The 19,699-nt window shown below is 43.1% G+C and overlaps 1 protein-coding gene across 10 annotated transcripts in view; it reads left to right on the top strand.

Annotated features, from left to right (window-relative positions):
* SAXO1 (stabilizer of axonemal microtubules 1) overlaps window positions 1-19,144 on the top strand; it is a 121,690-nt gene extending 102,546 nt beyond the window's left edge. For 9 of the 10 annotated variants that reach the window (NM_001287049.2, XM_024447428.2, XM_011517745.3 and 6 more), the window contains 2 exons: window positions 4,955-5,157; window positions 17,739-19,144. In NM_001287049.2, coding sequence (NP_001273978.1) covers window positions 4,955-5,157; window positions 17,739-18,742 — 1,207 coding nt within the window. In that variant the 3' untranslated portion in view covers window positions 18,743-19,144. The remainder of the gene's footprint in view (window positions 1-4,954; window positions 5,158-17,738) is intronic. The other variant, NM_001287050.2, reaches the window with a different exon arrangement.
* The last annotated feature ends 555 nt before the right edge of the window (window positions 19,145-19,699 follow it).

The raw sequence follows: 19,699 nt of genomic DNA, 5'->3' as shown, positions 1-19,699 counted from the left end.
ACCTAATTTCCTATCCTTTAATTCATTATGGCCTTACTTTGCTTTCCTTAATGAGCATGGTTTAAAAAGCTACTTTAAAATCCTTATCTGCTAATTCCAATGTCTGGTCTGCTTGGAGTTGGTCTCCATAATTATCTTTTTTTTTTCTTTTTTGAGCATGGGTCAGATTTTGGGTTGATTTTTGTACAGTGAGAATGTTGCTACATTGTGGACACCTTAGATGTTTGTTTGCATTCCTCTAAAAAGTGTTTTTATCTTTGGCAGGCAGGTAACCTGATTTGATTTACAATGCAAACTCTGTGTCTTGGGTGGCCGCTCAAATCTCACTTCAGTTCTTTAGCTTGGAATCTACCCCATATATGTGAGGTTATGCAGAGATTTGGGCCCAGTTTATGTACAGAATTTAGGGCTTCCTGTCTTTGACTCTCTCATTTCCAGGTTTCTTTCCTCATTTTGCAGCATCCGTGGTTGCTTCAAACTTGGTCCTCTTTTTTTTTTTTTTTTTTTTTTTTTTGGTGAGATGAAGTTTTGCTCTTGTTGCCCAGGCTGGAGAGCAGTGGCACGATCTCGGCTCACCGCAACTTCCTCCTCCCGAGTTCAAGCGATTCTCCTGCCTCAGCCTCCCGAGTAGTTAGGATTACAGGTGTGTCCCACCACATCCAGCTAATTTTGTATTTTTAGTAGAGATGGGGTTTCTCCATGTTGGTCAGGCTGGTCTCATACTCCTGACATCTGGTGATCCGCCTGCCTTGGCCTCCCAAAGTGCTGGGATTACAAGCATGGGCCACCGTGCCCGGCCAGCCTTCTGGTTTTTGTAGTCAAGAAAAGGTGATTACCTAAAAGATCTGCCTTTTAGCTGCCCTCCCTTGCACAGACTGGAGCTGACCTTCAGGCTGGAAGCTTTGAATCTTAAATAGTTAATGGAAAATTAAGCAATGAAGCCTCACACAGTGCCATTTTCTGCTTCCACCTGTTGGCTCTCCCCAGAATCTACCTTTTTAGAGCTTTAAAGTCATTTGAAATAGTTTGCCTAGGGTTTATATGAAGTGGTGACAGATATTTGCCTCAGCCTTAGTGGGAGTTGAGGGACTCAGAGGGCAGAGGAGAAGACAGGTGCTATGTAACTTGGATTCTGGAGTGCATGGGCTTGGAATCCCATCTGTTATAGTGAAGGTAAGGAGGACTCTGTGTCCCATAAGGACCAGGGGCATGAATCAAACCCTGTGATTCAGCCAAGGATCTTTTGCAGCACAATGGGATGGACTCCCCAAGCTGCCTAGGATGGGAGAATAGTTTCTCTAGAAGGGTGCCTTTTGACATTGGGAAGTTTGAGAATAGCATATAGAAGTGACAAAGTCAATCAAATCAACTGACAAAGAGCAGAACCCCATAGAAGACATGGAGAAAAGATCATGAGGAGTGGTATCACGGAAGTCAAGGGAGAGAGTATTGAAAAATTGAGTGAGAGGATGGATGCTATGAACAACCACAGTGGGATAAGGTTGAGAAGCAGCGGTTGGGTCTGGAAAACAAGGTGATGCTTGGAGTATCCAGGAGTGAGGGGAATCAGATCTGATGGGTGGGACATGAGGAGAGGAAGGCAAGTCTGTACTTGTAGACAACACTTTCTGGAAGACAGAAGGGAAAACTGGAGGAGAATGGAGCTCAGTGAGGATAGTGTCTTGTTTTACTCTTTACCTTTAAAGATGGGAGGTAACACTCAATGGAGAAAGGAGGCAGTAGGGAGGAAGAGAGAAAAGCATGGCCTAGGAGATGGTCTGCAGATGAGATTCCCGAGAAAGAGGGCAGGGGTGAGAGAGGTTGGCTTTGGCCAAGAGGAGGAACTCCTTTTAAGATGGATTCCATTTTAATATAATTGATTACTTGGACACACTAATATATCTTCAAGTTTGCATAAATAAACATTAAAAACAGGTTTAAAAAAAGTGTTGCATGGCCCTTTGTCATGGTGAAAATCTTCATTTCCCACTGCCAGGCTCAGGACCCTAGCTCACTGTTACGTTATTTCCTCTTTCCTTTTGTCAGAGAGTTGTCAAACACCTTTCTTCAGCTTTGCTAAATGATTTGAAGTCAAGTTGTTATGACTTCCCCAGCAGGACCACTCCAACTTTTTACTTAACTCTGAGTTTAACTCTTGGCCTTCCCTACTCTATAACTTTTATAGCTACTTACCTAAAAGAAACTTACTTCTCTGACCAGTTTCTTTTTCTTGGTTCATGTCACATGTGCACAGAGACTGGGAAATGTACCACAGAAAGAGAGGGGAGATCCAGTGTTCTTAAAAAGAAAAGCTAGTTAATTGGAGCAATTCTGGGGAGACTAAAATATAGACTTTTCTTTTACGTGAATTTAAAGGCTGTAAGATTATGTGTGATTGGGGACATGCAGTTATGTTGCGGTTAATGACAGGTTTCAGTGAATGTTCTCAACATAAAAACATAATGAGGAAACACATAAATTCTGATTAAATTCACTCCTAAGCCACAGTAACTATGTTTGGGTAGGTTATAAAAAAGTCAAACTTTAAAATTTTTCTTCTCTTCAGAAGTAGATACCGCTTCCCCCCACCCCCCATAATCATTTGCCTTAGTTATGGCTGATCAATAAATTAAACCATAGAGGAACACTTACAAAGGAACTTAAATTTTATACTGGAAAAGGCGATTGGCTTTTGTCTTTGGGAAACCAATTTCAGAATAGTCTGTGAACTGGTGAATTTGGTTTTGGGCTTTTGTCTGCTCTTTTCCGGTAGAAGCCGTGGGAGATGCGCAATAAGCGTGCTTTAGTTTTCAAGAGTCTGGCAGCCTTTGAAGGGAGGTTTCTGCGGCATCCCTGAGAGGAAGCTGGTCCTCTTGGTCAGAGTAACTGCAGAAGAGGCTGCTATGGACTCTGTGTGCAGGGTCCCTGAGAGTGGCAGCCTCACAACTGGAAAGCATCCCTAGATGCTCTGAGGTTGGGTGGGCTCAGCACGGCAGCTCAGGCGCCCAGCTTTGTTCCTCACTGCATGCCCTTGGTACCTCCTGATACTCCTTGGAAATGAATAGGGTGTAGGCTTAGGTAGCCATCACTGAGCACAGGCTTTTATAAGGGTTTAGGAATGTGTGGTCTCAGGCTGCCTTGAAACCTGTCCATCCCTTCTGAGAGTGAGGAGAGCTCAACTTCCCTTGGGAGCACTCCCTTTAGAATGTACACTTTCTGACCAAGAGTCCCTTTCCACTCAGCTGGTTTTCAGATGGAGTTTTCTGGGCATTTTCATTTGTCTTTGTAGCCTAAGGACTTACCCTCTTAGTTCCCTGCTACAATTGGTTTAGTGCTGAATAGACACCAGGGTGTAGTACTTGCTCACTGAGAACAGCAGAAGTAGGAGCTGACCCTTGGCTGCTTGTTCAGTCCATTCCCTCCATAAGCCCCGATATGTACAGTCAGCTTCCAGACACTTCAGGCTAACAGCAGGGCCCCTAGGAAGGGAGCCCAGGCTGAATGTCCTATAACTGCCGCTAAGATATATTTTTAAATCTACCCAGAGGGTGTTAGGGGAGTTCAACTGAAGCATCTCCCATTTCCTCCTTAGAGCCCTAGAGAGACTAATTCTCCTGCTTCCTAACTTCCTTCTCCCATCCCACTAAGCATTTTCAGGACCCGGTTCGGGTTTACTGACAATCATGTGTATAATTCACGCAAGACAGGTTACAGTGGAGCGTGTTACCTTTGCTAGTCAAGCATGGCTGAGTAATGCTGCTCCAGATTTTGGCCAGGAAGTGGGTTTTATTGGTGTTTGGGCCTAACGTTTTCCTGTCCGGAAACCTTCCCCTTCCCTTGACAGGGATGTTCTGGCAAGCACCATCAGGAAAAATCTACCTTCCCTTTGTCCAGTTGAATAAATGGGTTCCAGGCAAAAACAGTTTGTTGTGTAAAACAGACACCCTTCAGAGGGAAATGTTAGCATTGAGAGGTGGGAAGTTGCGAGTGCCCTGGAGGGCAACACAAGTCCGAGCTAAGCCCTGGCTCCTTAGGGCGGTTCCTGGTGGGCATTGCAGTGAGCATCTGGGCCTTTTTATCTGGGATGCTTTGGGGAGGGACTGCTTCCTGTTTAGTGAAGACCATTATACTTTTTCGATCCTATTGTTTTGGTACTCCCTGAAACAATGGGGGCGCAGACACCAGATAGCAGAGAAATGAAGGAGTCAGGGTTTCCAGTTATTTCACTGTTTTCCTCTTCTGGGTTTTCTGTAGGCTAAGTAGAGGAAAGAGATAAACATTAGCAGGAGAAGCTTTTGGGAACACAGAGAAGGTGGCAGCGGCACCTGAAAGGAAGATACCTCCGCAGTGAAGGGGTTGGGTGGAAGGAAGGTGGAGAGCGCAGCAGTAGAAACGGTGGCATTGTGGTTGGAGTGCAGGGTTTTCAGGTGGGGTGGGGATCGTGAGAGACAAGGGTGAGTCAGGCAGGAGCCAGGTCCAGAAAGGCTTATAAATTATGCCAGGAAGTTGAATTTTACCTGGAAGAGTTTTAAACTGGGGAAAGCCATCTGATTTCCATTTAGAGAGTTTATTCTGGCCACATTATGGTGATTGAATAGAAGTGGTAGGAATGAAGGAGGAAGCTCAGGTGGCAGGCTGTTAGTGAGAAATTGTCAGGATCTGGACCAAGGGGAAAGAAAAACCAATGAGGTGGAGGGGCACTGGTGGTGATAGACTCTGGGGCCGTGAGGAAAGGAGGTCAAAGATGAATACAGGTGTCTGAGTTGGGTGAGAAGGAATTGATGGTACCCTTCTCAAAAGTGGGAAATAGAGGAGAAACAGTTCGGGGGAGGAGGGAAGGCAGGTAGAGTAGAACAGGACTTCTCAGCAAATGTTTGTAGAGTTGGGTTGAGCAGAAAACATAAGCCTTATCGCAAGCCAAGGACCCCAACAGCATGCACTTGCTTCCTTACAGGAGAGATTTTGGGCCTCACAAAGTGGCACCAGTGAAGGTCCACCAGTATGACCAGTTCGTCCCGAGTGAAGAGAATATGGATTTGCTCACGACGTATAAGAAAGATTACAATCCCTACCCTGTCTGTCGAGTGGACCCCATCAAACCTCGGGACAGTAAATATCCATGTAGCGACAAGATGGAGTGTTTGCCTACTTATAAAGGTGGGAGAGCACAGAGGGGCAGATTGGGGGAAAGACAGGCTGAGCCTGTGTGCGGGCCAGGAAATGTGTTTTATGTGCATACTCAGTTAGTGCAAGAGTTGGCAGACTACTTCCTACGGGCCAGATCTGGCCAGCAGCCTGTTTTTGTATAGCTGGAGAGCTAAGAAGAGTTAAGCATTTTTTTTTAATAATTGAAAAACAAATCAAAAGGATATAATTTGAGGACTGTGAAAATGATATAAAATTGAAAATTCAGTGTTCATGTTTTATTGGAACGCAGCCATATTCATTCATTTACGCAGTATCGATGGCTACTTTTTTTTTTAGCATAGTAGCAAAGTTGAGTAGTTGTTGACAGAGACACTACAGTCTGTGAGGCATAAGACACTTAATACCTGGCTCTTATACAAAATATCTGCCAACCCCTGCCTTAGCTTGCAGTTTGAATCCTATATTGGGGGAAGCATTTCAAGTTCAGGCTAAGTTAGTTTCTACCACTGATTAAGTGATTGATTCATTCACATGTTTAAAAAATATATCAAAATGTAACATACATATGGAAAAGTATACAAATTATAATTATAGAGATCAATAAATTTGCACTGAACAAATCCATATAAACAGTACCCAGATCAAGAGATAAAACATTACTACTCCATTTCTGTTACCCTCCCCAATGAGAATATAACCATTATTTTAACCTTTAATACTTTAAATTAGTTTCGCCAGTTTTGAACTTTATATAAATAGGATTGCTTCTTTCTTTATTGAGTATCTATTGATATTACCTATGAGGTGTGGTCCTAGAAACTGAAGGAAGCATAATGGCCTGCCCTTGACTTTCTAGCCTAGTGGAGAGACAAGATACGTGGTCATATGTGTTTTGCTAGCAGACAGCCACTCTATGGAGCTCAGCTGCAAAGACTGAGACCATGAGACTGGAGACCAGGTTTGTAATCAATAACTCATGCTTATGATACCAACCTTTGCCTTGCCCTAGGAGGACAAGCTGAACAGTTCACGGACCTCTAAATGCTGTGAATAGAGAGGGCCACTTTTATTTAGTCAAGCCAAGCATTTAGGGTGAAGAGGGTGGTGGAGGTAGGGAGGTTGGAGGGATGTGAGCTCCTAGAAGGGCCTCTAATTCTGTCATCCTGGAGGACCCTGTGCTTAGTTGAGTTTCTCTGATTCTTCCAGGAACTGAAGACTGGATTGGCGTGGGCCTCTTCAGCAACCTGGGCTCTGCCCTTTTATTTTCTTTAGCTTCTTCCTCTAACACTCCCCCATAGATAGCTACCTTTGGTCAAGCCACCTTTTATCAGCAGTACAAGAACTGACTAATATTCTGAATGTTATCATACCCTGAAATGGCCCCACCTCTGAAGTCTTTGTGCACATCGGCATCCTGTCCTCTGGGCTTGTCCTCTTATCTCCTCCCACCACGACAGTCCTTGGCCTTTTTGGGACCTCCAGTCCATTGACGTCTTAATCCTCCCTCTTACCACCAGCCGCTCCTGTGTCTGTCCCTCCCCATGGAGTCTCTACTTCATGGCCTATCTTTGGAGCCCAGCTCCTACTGATAGCCGAGAGTCCCTCTCTCTTCAGCCCTTTTGCTGTTTCCTCCTAGCAAAGCCCTAATCCTGTTTTCCCCATGTCTACACCTGGGCACACACCTGAGCATATCTCCAGTCTTGTCAGCTTTTACTCATTTTCCACAGAAAGGGAGCAGAGCAGTCTTCTATACATGGCAATCTGATCTGACCACTCCTTTGTATAAAACTCCTCAGATAATCATTTGATAAAATCATTATTTTGTCTAATCATATCATTTTATCAAACGATAAAATCATTATTTTATCAAATCATATTATTTTATCAAATCATATGATCCTATTACGATAAAAACCCAAACCTTTTCTGCCTCCTCTGATGCCTTGGAAGTCCTGGTGTCTTCTAAGCCCCTCTGCTCCAGCCTCAGGGCCTTCTTTCAGGTCCCTTCCTACATTTCTTTTCTGCTTCAGGGCATTTGTTTAGCACATGTGATGCCTTCTATATAGAATCCTTCTGCTTCCTTAATCTAGCACTTATCCTTTCAGCTAGCAGCTGAAAGATCACATTCTGAGCCCTTCCGCCATGTCAGGCTGGATGCTATATGGGTGCCTTGCACTCCCCTGTCTTATCATGCATTGTGTACTTTTAATGCTTCCTTTAATGGCCAGGCTGTAACCTCCAAGGGGCAGGGATCTGTTTGTCTTTTTCTTTCCCAATTACCCTCTCACAGCAGGCACCACACAGGAGTCCATACAACCAGGTGTATGACCATGGGTAGGGTGTTGGGGGGCACTTTTGCCTCTACTGAATGCATTCTTCTCCTTTTTAATCCAGTGTTTACAAGAAGACCAGAAATAAGGCAGCACAGACATTGAGCTAGTGGGATAGAGGAATGAAACTGCAGTAAGCGCTTTCCACGATGGGTGGAGGGAATAAGGGACTGTGATATGGCATATCCGATGGCGGACTCGCCTCTCCTCTACACTGTCTTTGTGGGCCCTGTTGGTTTATGAATCTTAGTATAGGGAGAGACTCTTCAGAGCTCCTGCCTGTCAGTTCAGTTCCCTCTCTTCCACCTTGCCCTAGGTGCAGGGAGAGGTCTGCGAGTGAAAAATGCTCCTTGCTTGTCTTGGGGGTTGGCAAGGATGGAGGAGGTCTATATGTAGCATTTAAAGAGAAGTCCTCCCTACTTCTCCCCAGCAGACTACTTACCGCTCAACACACACACACATACACACACACACACACACACACACACACACACGCACGCACGCATGCACCCCACCACACCCCAGCAGTACTCTTTGTTTAATCTCTTTCACTGCCATTTTCCCCTGTCTCTCCCTTTGTCCATACAGCTACATCTCAGGCTGTCCTCTTCAAACTACAGAAGAGTGAGTATTCCACAGCTTAAACTGAATCATGGCTGACAGGGTTTGGGTCTCTGCCCCCATGAAATCTCATGTTGAATTGTAATCCTCAGTGTTGGAGGTGGGGCCTGGTGAGAGGTGATTGTATAATGGGGGCGGTTTTTGATGGTTTAGCACCCCCCTGCCCCCTTAGTACTGTAAAATGAGTGAGTTCCCCTGAGATCTGCTTGTTTAGAAGCGTTTGGCACCTCCCCACCTCCCGACTCGCGCTCTCTGTCCTGCTCCTGCCGTGTAGGATGCCTTATTGCACTTTGCCTTCCACCATGAGTAAAACTCCCTGAGGCCTCCCCAGAAACAGATGCTACCATGCTTCCTGTACATCCTGCAGAACCATGAGCCAATTCAACTGCTTTTCTTTATAAATTACCCAATCTCAGGCATTTCTTTATAGCAGTGCAAGAACTGACTAATATAATGGCTGACTTCCCTACTGACAAAGTTAAAATTGAGAAAATCCTATTTTCTTCCTCAGTTTCCTTAAACTTCTGGTACCTCTTAACTGCTTGCCTACTTAAACAGAGTTAATAAATGAACACCAGTCAAGTCTGAACTGGACTGCTCAGAACCAGGCATGCATAGATGGACAGGGTTTTTGTTCTTGGAACATGTGCATTTGAGGTTGGAGTTCATAGTTTTCCTCTGCAATTCCGATTTTAAAACAAATCAGTATGTAGCTAAAGGAAACACTTATAGTTAGATTAACCTATGGGTACCAGTTTGCAACATGTGTGTCTTATGAGGTTTTTTTTTGAATACTACTTTCTTAGTTCATTTGTGCTGCTGTAACAAAAATACTTGAGAGTGAGTAATTTATAAATAAGACATTTATTTCTCGCAGTTCTGAAGGCTGGGAAGTTCAAGATCAAGGCGCTGATAGGTTTGGTGTCCAGTGAGGGTCTGCTCTCTGCTTCCAAGATGGTGCCTTGTTGCTGTGTCCTCATGTGGTGAAAGCCAGAAGGAAAAAAGGGCCTTGGCTAGCTCCCTCCAGTCATTGTATAGCAGTGCTAATCCATTCATGAAGGTGGAGCCTGCATGATGCAATCATTTCCCAAAAGGCCTCACCTCCCAATACCACCGTATTGGGGATTAAGTTTCAGCACATGAATTTTGGGGCACATTCAGACTATAGCAAATACTTTTATTCTATTAATTGAAGTGGTTTGTTTGTTCTGTCACTCACCTGTGATAGAAGGGCTTCCCAAACTGTGCCTTGAATGCCCAACATCTGTATTCCCAGCATCGAACACAGGGAATGACACAACAAAGTGTGTCAAGTGAGGGACTCAATGGATGAATGGTTCTGAACCATTGTTTACAAGGGCTCCAGGTGACAGAGTTTGGCATATCTACACAAATCCCCACCCAGGCTATTACCCTGTGGGTCCTGGCCAGGAGCAGAAGTGAGGATTGAGAAGGCCCATGCCACTTACCATTTGGTTGGGTCAGTCCTTAATAACCCCATGCATTTATGAGGGGTCACGCCCTTATCTCTTGGTGTATCACCCCTTGGGTGACATGTTTGTGTCTTGTGAAAATTTGCTGCTTTCTTAAGTCTTTTCCATAACAACCTTCATGTTTTATGACCATACGTTGATTCTCTTCCTCCTCTACCACCCAAAGAGAAACCAAAGACCAAGGTTATTAAATACATGTTTCAGTGGGTGCCATCTAGATTTTGTCTATATGCTCTGCTTACATTTGTTCCACAGAAAAAATATGAAATCTTTTTTTCCCCTTTTCACTCTATGGCCAGCACCTTTACTGGGGTCCAGAAAACCACCAATAAAATATGCTTTAGCGGCATTTGGTTGTAATTTGTGACATTTTCAAAACACTGTGCAATTGGAAAGATTGAGAGTGTAATTACTTGATGCTCAGCTTTAGGTTTAGCTGTTTTTTTAAAGGCACATTATTGAATGGAATCCCTTTTAAAGAAGTTCTTGCCAATTACCCACATGACACTCTGGCCCTGAAGGGCTTTACTGGCATATGAATAGTTTGTCATGTGAAATTCTGAGGTTTTTCAGGGTCCTGTAGAGGTTTTTGGTAATAAATGCTGGGTGGAGGAAGTCGGGAGGCTTGGATAATAATGTGGTTTCAACTATATTGTTGGGTATCAGAAATCACATGAGGCAACTTTGAGCTTAGAAACCTGTTTTGTTAACACTTCATCCATCACAGAAGAGAGCCAGAAAAGCCCTGTCCTCCCCACCCCCAAGTACCTTGAGGGAGTGCGTAGGCATCTACAGGTAGATGCCTCCGTTTCAGCAAGGCCAGGAGTCTGGGGGCCGGGGTGGGCAGGAAACATGTGGTTTATATTCAGCAAGATGGTTCCCTCCAAGGCCCCCTAATGCTTTCAAGATGCTGATAGAGCCGTTAATGGCTCTTGGAGAAAGATTAGATTTTCAATTAAAATGAAGCCAATTTTAGATAAATAGTTGGTAGTATTATCAGCCTAAAATAAACTTAAGAGCGTGCTGGTGGATGAGGGGGTGGTATCAGGACTTCTGGAGATGAGGAGTAAGGAGCTTGGCAAATCCTCTTCCCAAAAAGCAATGACAAAACTGGACAAAACAGTGAAAATCAACCATTTCTAGACTCTGGAAATCAGCCACTGGTATGCAAAAAAATTGAGAAGCATTTATTAAAGAAACTGTGGCACCTTGGTTATTAACACTAGGAGTCTGTGATGTTTTATTCTGGGGCTGCTTCCATCACCCCATCCCCACCCCTGCTGTTTCATTTATGTAGTGGCTCTGCCGGAGCAGGCTAGGCTGTGGAAACAAGCAGCTGTGCTGTCAGTGGGGCCTGACTTGATTGGGAATAGAGTGCATCCCCAGGAGTTTCAATAAAAACAATAGTGAGCTTAATGGCAAGAAATCAGGGAAGACAACTTCTGAGTTAGTCTGAGGCTGCAGTGCTAGTTGTGGCAAGCAACAGACCAGCAAACCAGCTAGGAATGTAAGAAGGGAGCTTCAGAGAATGAGACAGACACAGTGGGTCTTGATAAGCTCATATGTATTCCTGGTGGTCGGGAAGGCTGTGCATATGGGCAAGACTGTGTGCAGACTAAAGGGCAATCAGAAAGAAACCCATCTATCAACTCATCATCCCTGGTTGAGTAGTCTGGAAGGCTGTGCACATGGGCAAGGCTACATGCAGGCTCAAGGGCAATCAGAGAGGAGCCCATCTATCAACTTATCATCCCTAATCATCCCTAGTTAGGCCTAGTGCTTGTGTAGGGGAGGCATGAGAAAGCCCAATAGGAAGTAAAAGCCAAATGAGACTTATAAACTGCCTGATCTTTGTATGTGTTTTTCCTAACCCACACACAGCTCCATTGGCAAAGTGTGAATGCCTTACTGGCTTAAAGTTCTTAAGTTTAACTTCTGACCAATCATTGGCTGACCACTAAACTATGCTGACAGAGTGACCCTTAAGAAGTCAGGCAAGGTGGCTCACGTCTATAATCCTAGCACTTTGCGAGGCCCAGGTGCGCAGATCATGGGGTCAGGAGGTTTTGTATTTTTTTGTAAAAATACAAAAAAAGAAAACAATAAATTATCTGGGTGTGGTGGTGGACGCCTGTAATCCCAGCCACTCAGGAGGCTGAGGCAGGAGAATCGCTTGAACCCGGGAAGGCGGAGGTTGCAGTGAGCTGAGATCGTGCCACTGCACTCCAGTCTGGGCAACAAGAGCAAGACACCATCTCAAAACAAACAAGCAAATTAAAAACAAAAACAAATTAAAAAGAAAAAAATGAACAAAAATATCGGTAGCCATACACTGCAGGGAAGATAAGACTCTATGGAATTAGTGCAGGTAAGCTAAACACAAGTAAAACCAACTCCCAATGGGGATCAGAATCCAGAGTTGCTGCAGCATATTATCTAAAGTGTTGTGTTTTACACAAAAAAATTGTAAGATGTGAAAAAGGGAAGTATGACCCATGCATGGTGGGGGAAAAAGCAGTCAACAGAAAGTATCTCTGCAGGAGCCCAGATGTTGGACATCGCAGACAAATATTTCAAAGTAGCTATTATAAATATGGTCAAAGAATAACAGGAAAGCATATTTAAAGAAATAAAAGTATGACAACAATTGCTCATCAAATAGAGAGTATCAGTAACAGGAAATAATAAAGAGGCAAATGAAAACTCTGGAGTTGGAAGGGCAATAACTAAAATAAAAAATTCGTTAGAGGGGCTCAACAGCAGATTTGAGCTGGCATAAGAATCAGCAAAAATGTGGATAGTTCAATAGAGATTCCCAATCTGAAGAACAGAAAAAAATTAAGAGAAAGGTCCAAACCAGACTCGTGGAATACCATAAAGTGTACTAACATACTCATAATCATGGCCCCAAAAGGAGAAGAAGGGGGCAGAAAAATGATAGATTAATGGCTGAAAGTTGCCAAATTTTATGAAAAATGTTTATTAATACATTCAAGAGGCACAATCCAAATAGAATAAGTACAAAGAGATCCACATCTATTCATAACATAGTCAAATTGTTGAAAGCCAAAAACAAAGATTTGGAAGGAGGCAAAAGAGAAATGACTCATCACATATAGAAAAATGACATTATTATTATTATTATTATTATTTTTGAGACGGAGTCTCGCTCTGTCACTCAGGCTGGAGTGCAGTGGCTGCAATCTCGGCTCACTGCAAGCTCCGCCTCCCGGGTTCACACCATTCTCCTGCCTCAGCCTCCCTAGTAGCTGGGACTACAGGCGCCCGCCACTACGCCTGGCTAATTTGTTGTATTTTTAGTAGAGACAGGGTTTCACCATGTTGGCCAGGATGGTCTTGATCTCCTGACCTCGTGATCAGCCCACCTTGGCCTCCCAAAGTGCTGGGATTACAGGCGTGAGCCACCGTGCCCGGCCCAAAAATGACATTATTAATGGCTAAGTTCTCTTCAGAAACAATGGAGGACTGAAGGCAGTTGGTTGCATATTCACAGTTTTGAAAGAAAAAAGTCTATCCTTCAAGAATTTCATATCTAGTGATATTATGATTCAATAATGAAGGCAAAATACATTCCCAGATAAGGATGGAGAGAAGTTACAGGTACCTAGCTTGCAAGAAGTACTAAAGGAAATCCTTCAGGCTAAAAGGGAATGATACCAGATGGCAGCACAAATCTACACAAAAAGTAGTAAAGCATACTGGTAAATGTAATTAGGTAAATATATACTTTTCTTTGTTTTCTTCTTAAATCATTAAAAAGATATTTTTTTCTTTTAATTCATTTAAAAGACAATTACAGAATCAATATTTATAAAACTATGAGATTTATTCTGGGAATTCAAAGTTGGTGTAACATCAGAAAATCAATTAATATGCCACATTAATAAAGTAACAGAAAAAAGCCACTTGGTTGATAGAAAGCATTTGACAAAGTTCAACACTCATAAAAGCTCTCAACAAGCTTAGGACTAGAAGGAAACTTCCTCAGCCTGATAAAGGGCATTCACAAAAAAAATCTGTACTTCTAAAACATCATACTTAATGTGAAAGACTAAATGGCTTCCCCCTAAGATTGAGAACAAGGCTAGGATGTCAGCTTTCACCACTTCCACTCAATATTGTATTGGAGGTTCTAGCTAGTGCAATAATGCAAGAAAAGCAAGCAGACAAGTAAATGTATCTAGGCTCAAAAGGAAAATGCGAAGCTGTCTTTATTCTCAGACAACATGATCCTGTATGCAGATAACACCAAGGAATCCAAAAAATTACCAGAACTAATACATGAGTTCAGCGAGATGTCAGTACTGAACAATATATAAAAATCAGTTGTTTCTGTATTCTAGCATGGACAATCAAAATGGAGTCAAGAAAACTGTTCTCTTTTTAATAGCCTCAAAATTAATAAAATCTTGGAATAAAATTTTAAAAAAGCAAGTGTAAGTCTTGCATGCTGAAAGCTACCAACGATTGCTGGGAGAAATTAAAATCTGAACAAAAATGATGGACATTCTGTGTTCATGGATTGGAAGGTTCAATACTATTAAGGTAAAGTTGTCCCAAATTGATCTGTAGATTCAATGCAATTCCTATCAAAATCTCAGAAGGCTCCTTTTCCTTTTTAGAACTTGGCAAAGTAATTTTAGGTTTTATATATGAAATCCAAATAAACCAGAATAGCTGAAAGTATTTTTGAAAAATAAGAACTAAGTTGTAAAACTTACACTTCCTGATTACAAAACTTTATTATAAAGCTACAGCAATTGAGACAGTTATACTGACACAAAGACAAGTATAATGACCAATGCAACTAAGTTGAGAGTACAGAAATAAGCCTTTATGTCTATTGTCGTTAACTTCTCACAAAGATGCCTAGGCACTTCAGTGTGGGAGAGGATAGTCTTTTTGATGAATGGTGCTGGGACAGTTGGATATCCACATGCAAAAAGACGAAGTTACCGCATCCAAACTCAAAAGAGTCAGAAACCTAAATGTAATAGCTAAAACTATAAATGTTTCAAAATAAAACATGGGAGAAAAATCTATGATATCTTGGGACAGGCAAAGAATTTAGACATGGCATCAAAAGCATGATTTATTAAAGATATAAATAGGACTTTATCGCAATTCAAAACCTTTGGGCACTTAGAAAGACACCATTAAGAAATGAAAAGAGTCAGGTGTCAGGTGGGTGTTTTGTTAAAATAATAAGAAAATGAAAAGAGAAGTGATAGACTTGGAAAAAAATTTGTAAATCACATACCTGGTGTAAGATTTGTATTTAGAACATGCAAAGAATTCTATAACTCAATAAGAAGACAATCTAATTTTAAAATGGGCAAAACATCTCAATATTTTACCAATGAAAGCACATGAAGAGCGGATAAGTGCATGCAGAGATACTCAACATCATTAGTCATTAGAGAAATGTAAATGACACTGCAAGATACTACTAAATACCCATTGGAATGTCTATAATAATTTAAAAACACAGATGATAACAAATATTGACAAGGATGTGGAGAAATGAGAATGTTTATACGTTGCTGGTGGGATGTAAAATGGCACATCTACTTCTCCACTTTGAGAACATTTGGCAGTATCTTTTTTAAAAAGCTAAAGATAGATTTTTCTATACAACCTAGCAATTTCACTTTATTATCTACCCAAGAGAAATGAAAATATATGTTCACACACAGACTTCTTCACAAAGGCTCATAGCAGAATTTCTTTATAATAGCCAAGGAGTAGAAACAACTCAAAATGTCCATCAATTGGTGAATGATAAACAAAATTTGGTATCATATAATATTATTCAACAATAAAAAGGTGAACTACTGATACAGGCTACATTATGGATGAACCTCAATTACATTACACTAAGTGAAAGAAGCCAGATGCAAAACGCTACATATTGGGTGATTCTATTTATATGAAATGTCCAAAAAATGCGCAGTTATAGAGACCAAGAGCAAATTAATGGTTGCCTGGGGCTGGAGATGGGAGTAAAGACTGACTACAAATGAAGATAATTGGTATTTTTGGCATGATGCAAATACTCTATAACTTGATTTTGGTGATGGATATACAACTCCATAAAAGTCACTAAATTGTGTACTTCAGATGGTACCTTTTATTATGCAAATTAGATTTCAATAAAACTGTTACAAATTGTGCCTGCGGACTCCACTAGTGTTGGTGTGTATACCCAAGGCTCCTGGGAAGCAGCTTTTTTTTCTAACCTTTCGTACAGCAGTAAGCAAGAGAATTCCCTATAGATTCAGAGGGCTCACTAGGGCTAATTTAAATCTGGTAATTTATGGGCCTGATGGGGCAACCTAGGTCTTGGATGTTAGTCAAGTATTTTGAAAGAATGCCAGCAGTAGGCCGGGCGTGGTGGCTCACGCCTGTGATCCCAGCACTTTGGGAGGCCGAGGTGGGCGGATTACCTGAGGTCGGGAGTTCGAGACCAGCCTGACCAACACGGAGAAACACCGTCTCTACTAAAAATACAAAATTAGCCGGGTGCGGTGGCACATGCCTGTAATCCCAGCTACTAGGGAGGCTGAGGCAGGAGAATCGCTTGAACCTGGGAGGTGGAGGTTGCGGTGAGCTGAGATTGTGCCATTGCACTCCAGCCTGGGCAACAAGAGTGAAACTCCATCTCAAATAAAAAAAAAAAAGTTCCAGCAGTGCCAAGGCAGTTGAATCACATGGTTTGTCATCCCATTTTTCTCACCTAGACTTTCAGTCTTGGTGTGCTGGCCCTGATGGTCTGTGTGGCAAAGCCAGTTTCAAAGGCTTACAGTGCTGCCTGAAGACAGTATCTGGTCCTCAAGATGCATGGAGGCCATCTCTACTGCAGATTTCCTTGGGGTCCAGGCCTCCCATTATGTTGGCCATTCCAGCCCCACAGCAGAGGTTCCTCTGGAGATGGACATCTAGATTGGCCAGTTCTTCTCATTCTTCAAACATTCTGAAGTTCTTTTCCTCCTGAAAATCTTCCCTCTGATTATTTTTTTCTTTAACCTTTACTCCATCTGGAAATAAAATGCCCCTAAGTGTGATATGAGGTATCAGAAGAACATGGCTTTGGAGACAACAATACGGTTTAAATTCCAACTCACCTCACTAGCCATGTGACTTTTGGGCAAGTTTCTTAGCTCCTCTGAGCCTTGTATTTAGAAATCTGTAGAATGGAGAGAATCATACCCATCACAAAGGGTTATTGTGAAGATGAAACAAGATCATGTATGGAAAGACTTGAGCACAATTGACCGACATGTAGTTGGTATTCCCTAACTGTTAGAACCAGAGAGTAGAGTGGGTCAGATCGTGGGCTCTGGGTCTGAATTTGCATTTGTGCTTTTCCACTTCTAGCCAAGTGAGCTGGGACAAATTCCCTCATTTTCTGTATATCTGTTTCTGCATCTATAAAACTGGCATTAATAGTACCCACCTTATTAGGACAGTCTGAAGATTAAGTGAGTTAATATATACAGCACTTAGAATACTGCCTGTTATGTAATAAGTTTTATATAAGTGGCAGCCACTGTTCTCTCACCACCCAATACAATGCCCTATTCCCTTGGAGCAGCATATTTGATTTATGTGGATTACATGTGAGGATTACAGGGACACAGTGGGCTGTCACTCCACAGACGACCAGGTAGGCCTGGTTCATCTGGCTGGTGGCCCACCAGTGGTGGGTTGTGAATTTTCTATCTCACTACATCACATGCATCTTCTCACTCCTTCCATGCTGATTCAGAGAAAGTACCTTCTCCACAGAAGAAAGGAAGTGTTGTCAGAGTAAGCTAGTGGTTGAACTTTTCTGCAGGAATGGATTCCCTGGATCCTCTCACGACCATGGACCCTCTAAGATCCCTGCATGCAGTATTGTGGGGTGTGATGAGAGCTCCTGTAGATTTGTCTCTTCTGCCTGCAAGTACCATAAAGTTGACACATCAGGTGTTTGAATGAAGTGGTAGCAGGGATGTGCTCTGTTCTTTCTTTGTCTCAAAGAACACTTCATCGGAGACTGCCTTAAGACCTTGGGGCTCTGTAGAATATATGCAAGTTGGTTGACTTGATTTATTATTAATTACCTCTTCTGCTTTAATTTCAGCTGATTATTTGCCTTGGAACCAACCAAGGCGAGAGCCACTTCGTCTGGAACACAAATACCAGCCGGCATCAGTCAGGTTTGATAACAGAACCACACACCAGGACGATTACCCCATAAAAGGCCTTGTGAAGACCATAAGCTGTAAACCTCTGGCCATGCCAAAGCTCTGTAACATCCCCTTGGAGGATGTGACTAACTACAAGATGAGCTATGTGGCCCACCCCGTGGAGAAGCGCTTTGTGCATGAAGCAGAGAAGTTCAGGCCCTGTGAAATCCCCTTTGAAAGCCTTACCACTCAAAAACAATCCTACCGGGGCCTGATGGGGGAGCCTGCCAAGAGCTTGAAACCTCTAGCCAGGCCTCCTGGGCTAGACATGCCTTTCTGTAACACCACTGAGTTTCGAGATAAGTACCAAGCTTGGCCAATGCCCCGGATGTTCTCCAAAGCTCCCATCACCTACGTCCCTCCCGAAGACAGGATGGATCTTCTGACAACAGTGCAGGCCCATTACACATGCCCTAAGGGTGCCCCAGCTCAGTCCTGCCGACCTGCACTTCAGATTAAGAAGTGCGGTCGCTTTGAAGGCTCTTCCACCACCAAGGATGACTACAAGCAGTGGTCCAGCATGCGCACAGAGCCAGTCAAGCCCGTTCCCCAGCTGGACTTGCCCACCGAGCCCCTGGACTGCCTGACCACCACTCGGGCCCACTATGTGCCCCACCTGCCTATCAATACCAAAAGCTGTAAGCCTCATTGGTCTGGCCCTCGAGGAAATGTCCCTGTGGAAAGCCAGACCACCTACACCATCAGCTTTACTCCCAAGGAAATGGGCAGGTGCCTAGCTTCATATCCTGAGCCTCCTGGCTACACCTTTGAGGAAGTGGATGCTTTGGGTCACAGGATATACAAACCAGTTTCCCAGGCAGGCTCTCAGCAGAGCAGCCATCTTTCTGTAGATGATTCAGAAAACCCCAACCAGAGGGAGTTGGAAGTGTTAGCCTGATTTTGAAAAATAGTAATTTAGAAATTACACAGTACTTTTAAAAGCAGACAACTGAGAATTATTTGTTGGACAAAAAAGAATTCCCTAAAATGACAAAAAACAAAAAACAAAAAACCTTCACCACTTCCAGAGCACTTGAATAAAATGAGAATCACTTGACTCAGGGAAAATGACATTTAATCACCGGCTAATTAACTCCCCTTACCTTCTCCTTTACTGCATCCCCACCCCGTTTCAGGTCCTTTACTTTGTGCTTATGGAATCAAAGTTGGTCTGTGAGGGTTTCTCTGATCCAGATGTATTTTATTAATTTAATCATTGTATGAACTGACATAATGATTAACCCTTGCCAAGTATGAAGCGCCAAAGAATAAATTTTATTTTGGGGGGAATGAATCTGTAGGCTGGCTATGCAGAGAGTAGTCCGTATTGCTTGGGACCTTTGGGAGATTTTATACTAGCACCCCCATTGTGTATCAGTATTGGTGGAGGTGCCTTGGGCCTGGTCTGGAGTCTTGTTTTGGGTTCTCTCTGTGCAGGGCTGCTTCACAAAGCATCCTTCTACCTCTTCACTGCATGACATACCAGCAAGAATAGTGCTGTTCGATGGGGTGTGGATCTCTTTAGTCACAGGTGATGGAGGGAAAGAAAGAGGGAGGCAGTGATGCATGAACCTACCAGACCTCTCCCCAACCCCAAGCTGGTACAGGCTATGATTCCAGGGAGAGGAGGGAGAAAAAGCACCCTTGGCAACCAGGCAGTCGACGCCTGGTCCTTGAGCTGTGAGCAAAAGCTGTGGGCTCTTCTAAATGCTCAGAGCCTGGAAGAAATTTCCCCAGGCTGGCCTGGTTTCTGGAGAGCCTGGATGTGCTTGTCCTAAAATGACAGCTGTGACCAGACCTGTGACAAAGTTTAACATAGTGGTGAGCCACATTCCGCCCTGGAGTTTCTCTCCTG

Source organism: Homo sapiens, chromosome 9 (assembly GCF_000001405.40).
Source record: "Homo sapiens chromosome 9, GRCh38.p14 Primary Assembly".
NCBI lineage: Eukaryota > Metazoa > Chordata > Mammalia > Primates > Hominidae > Homo > Homo sapiens.
The sequence above is the reverse complement of the archived record's forward strand: the minus strand, read 5'-3'. Positions and strand labels throughout refer to the sequence as shown.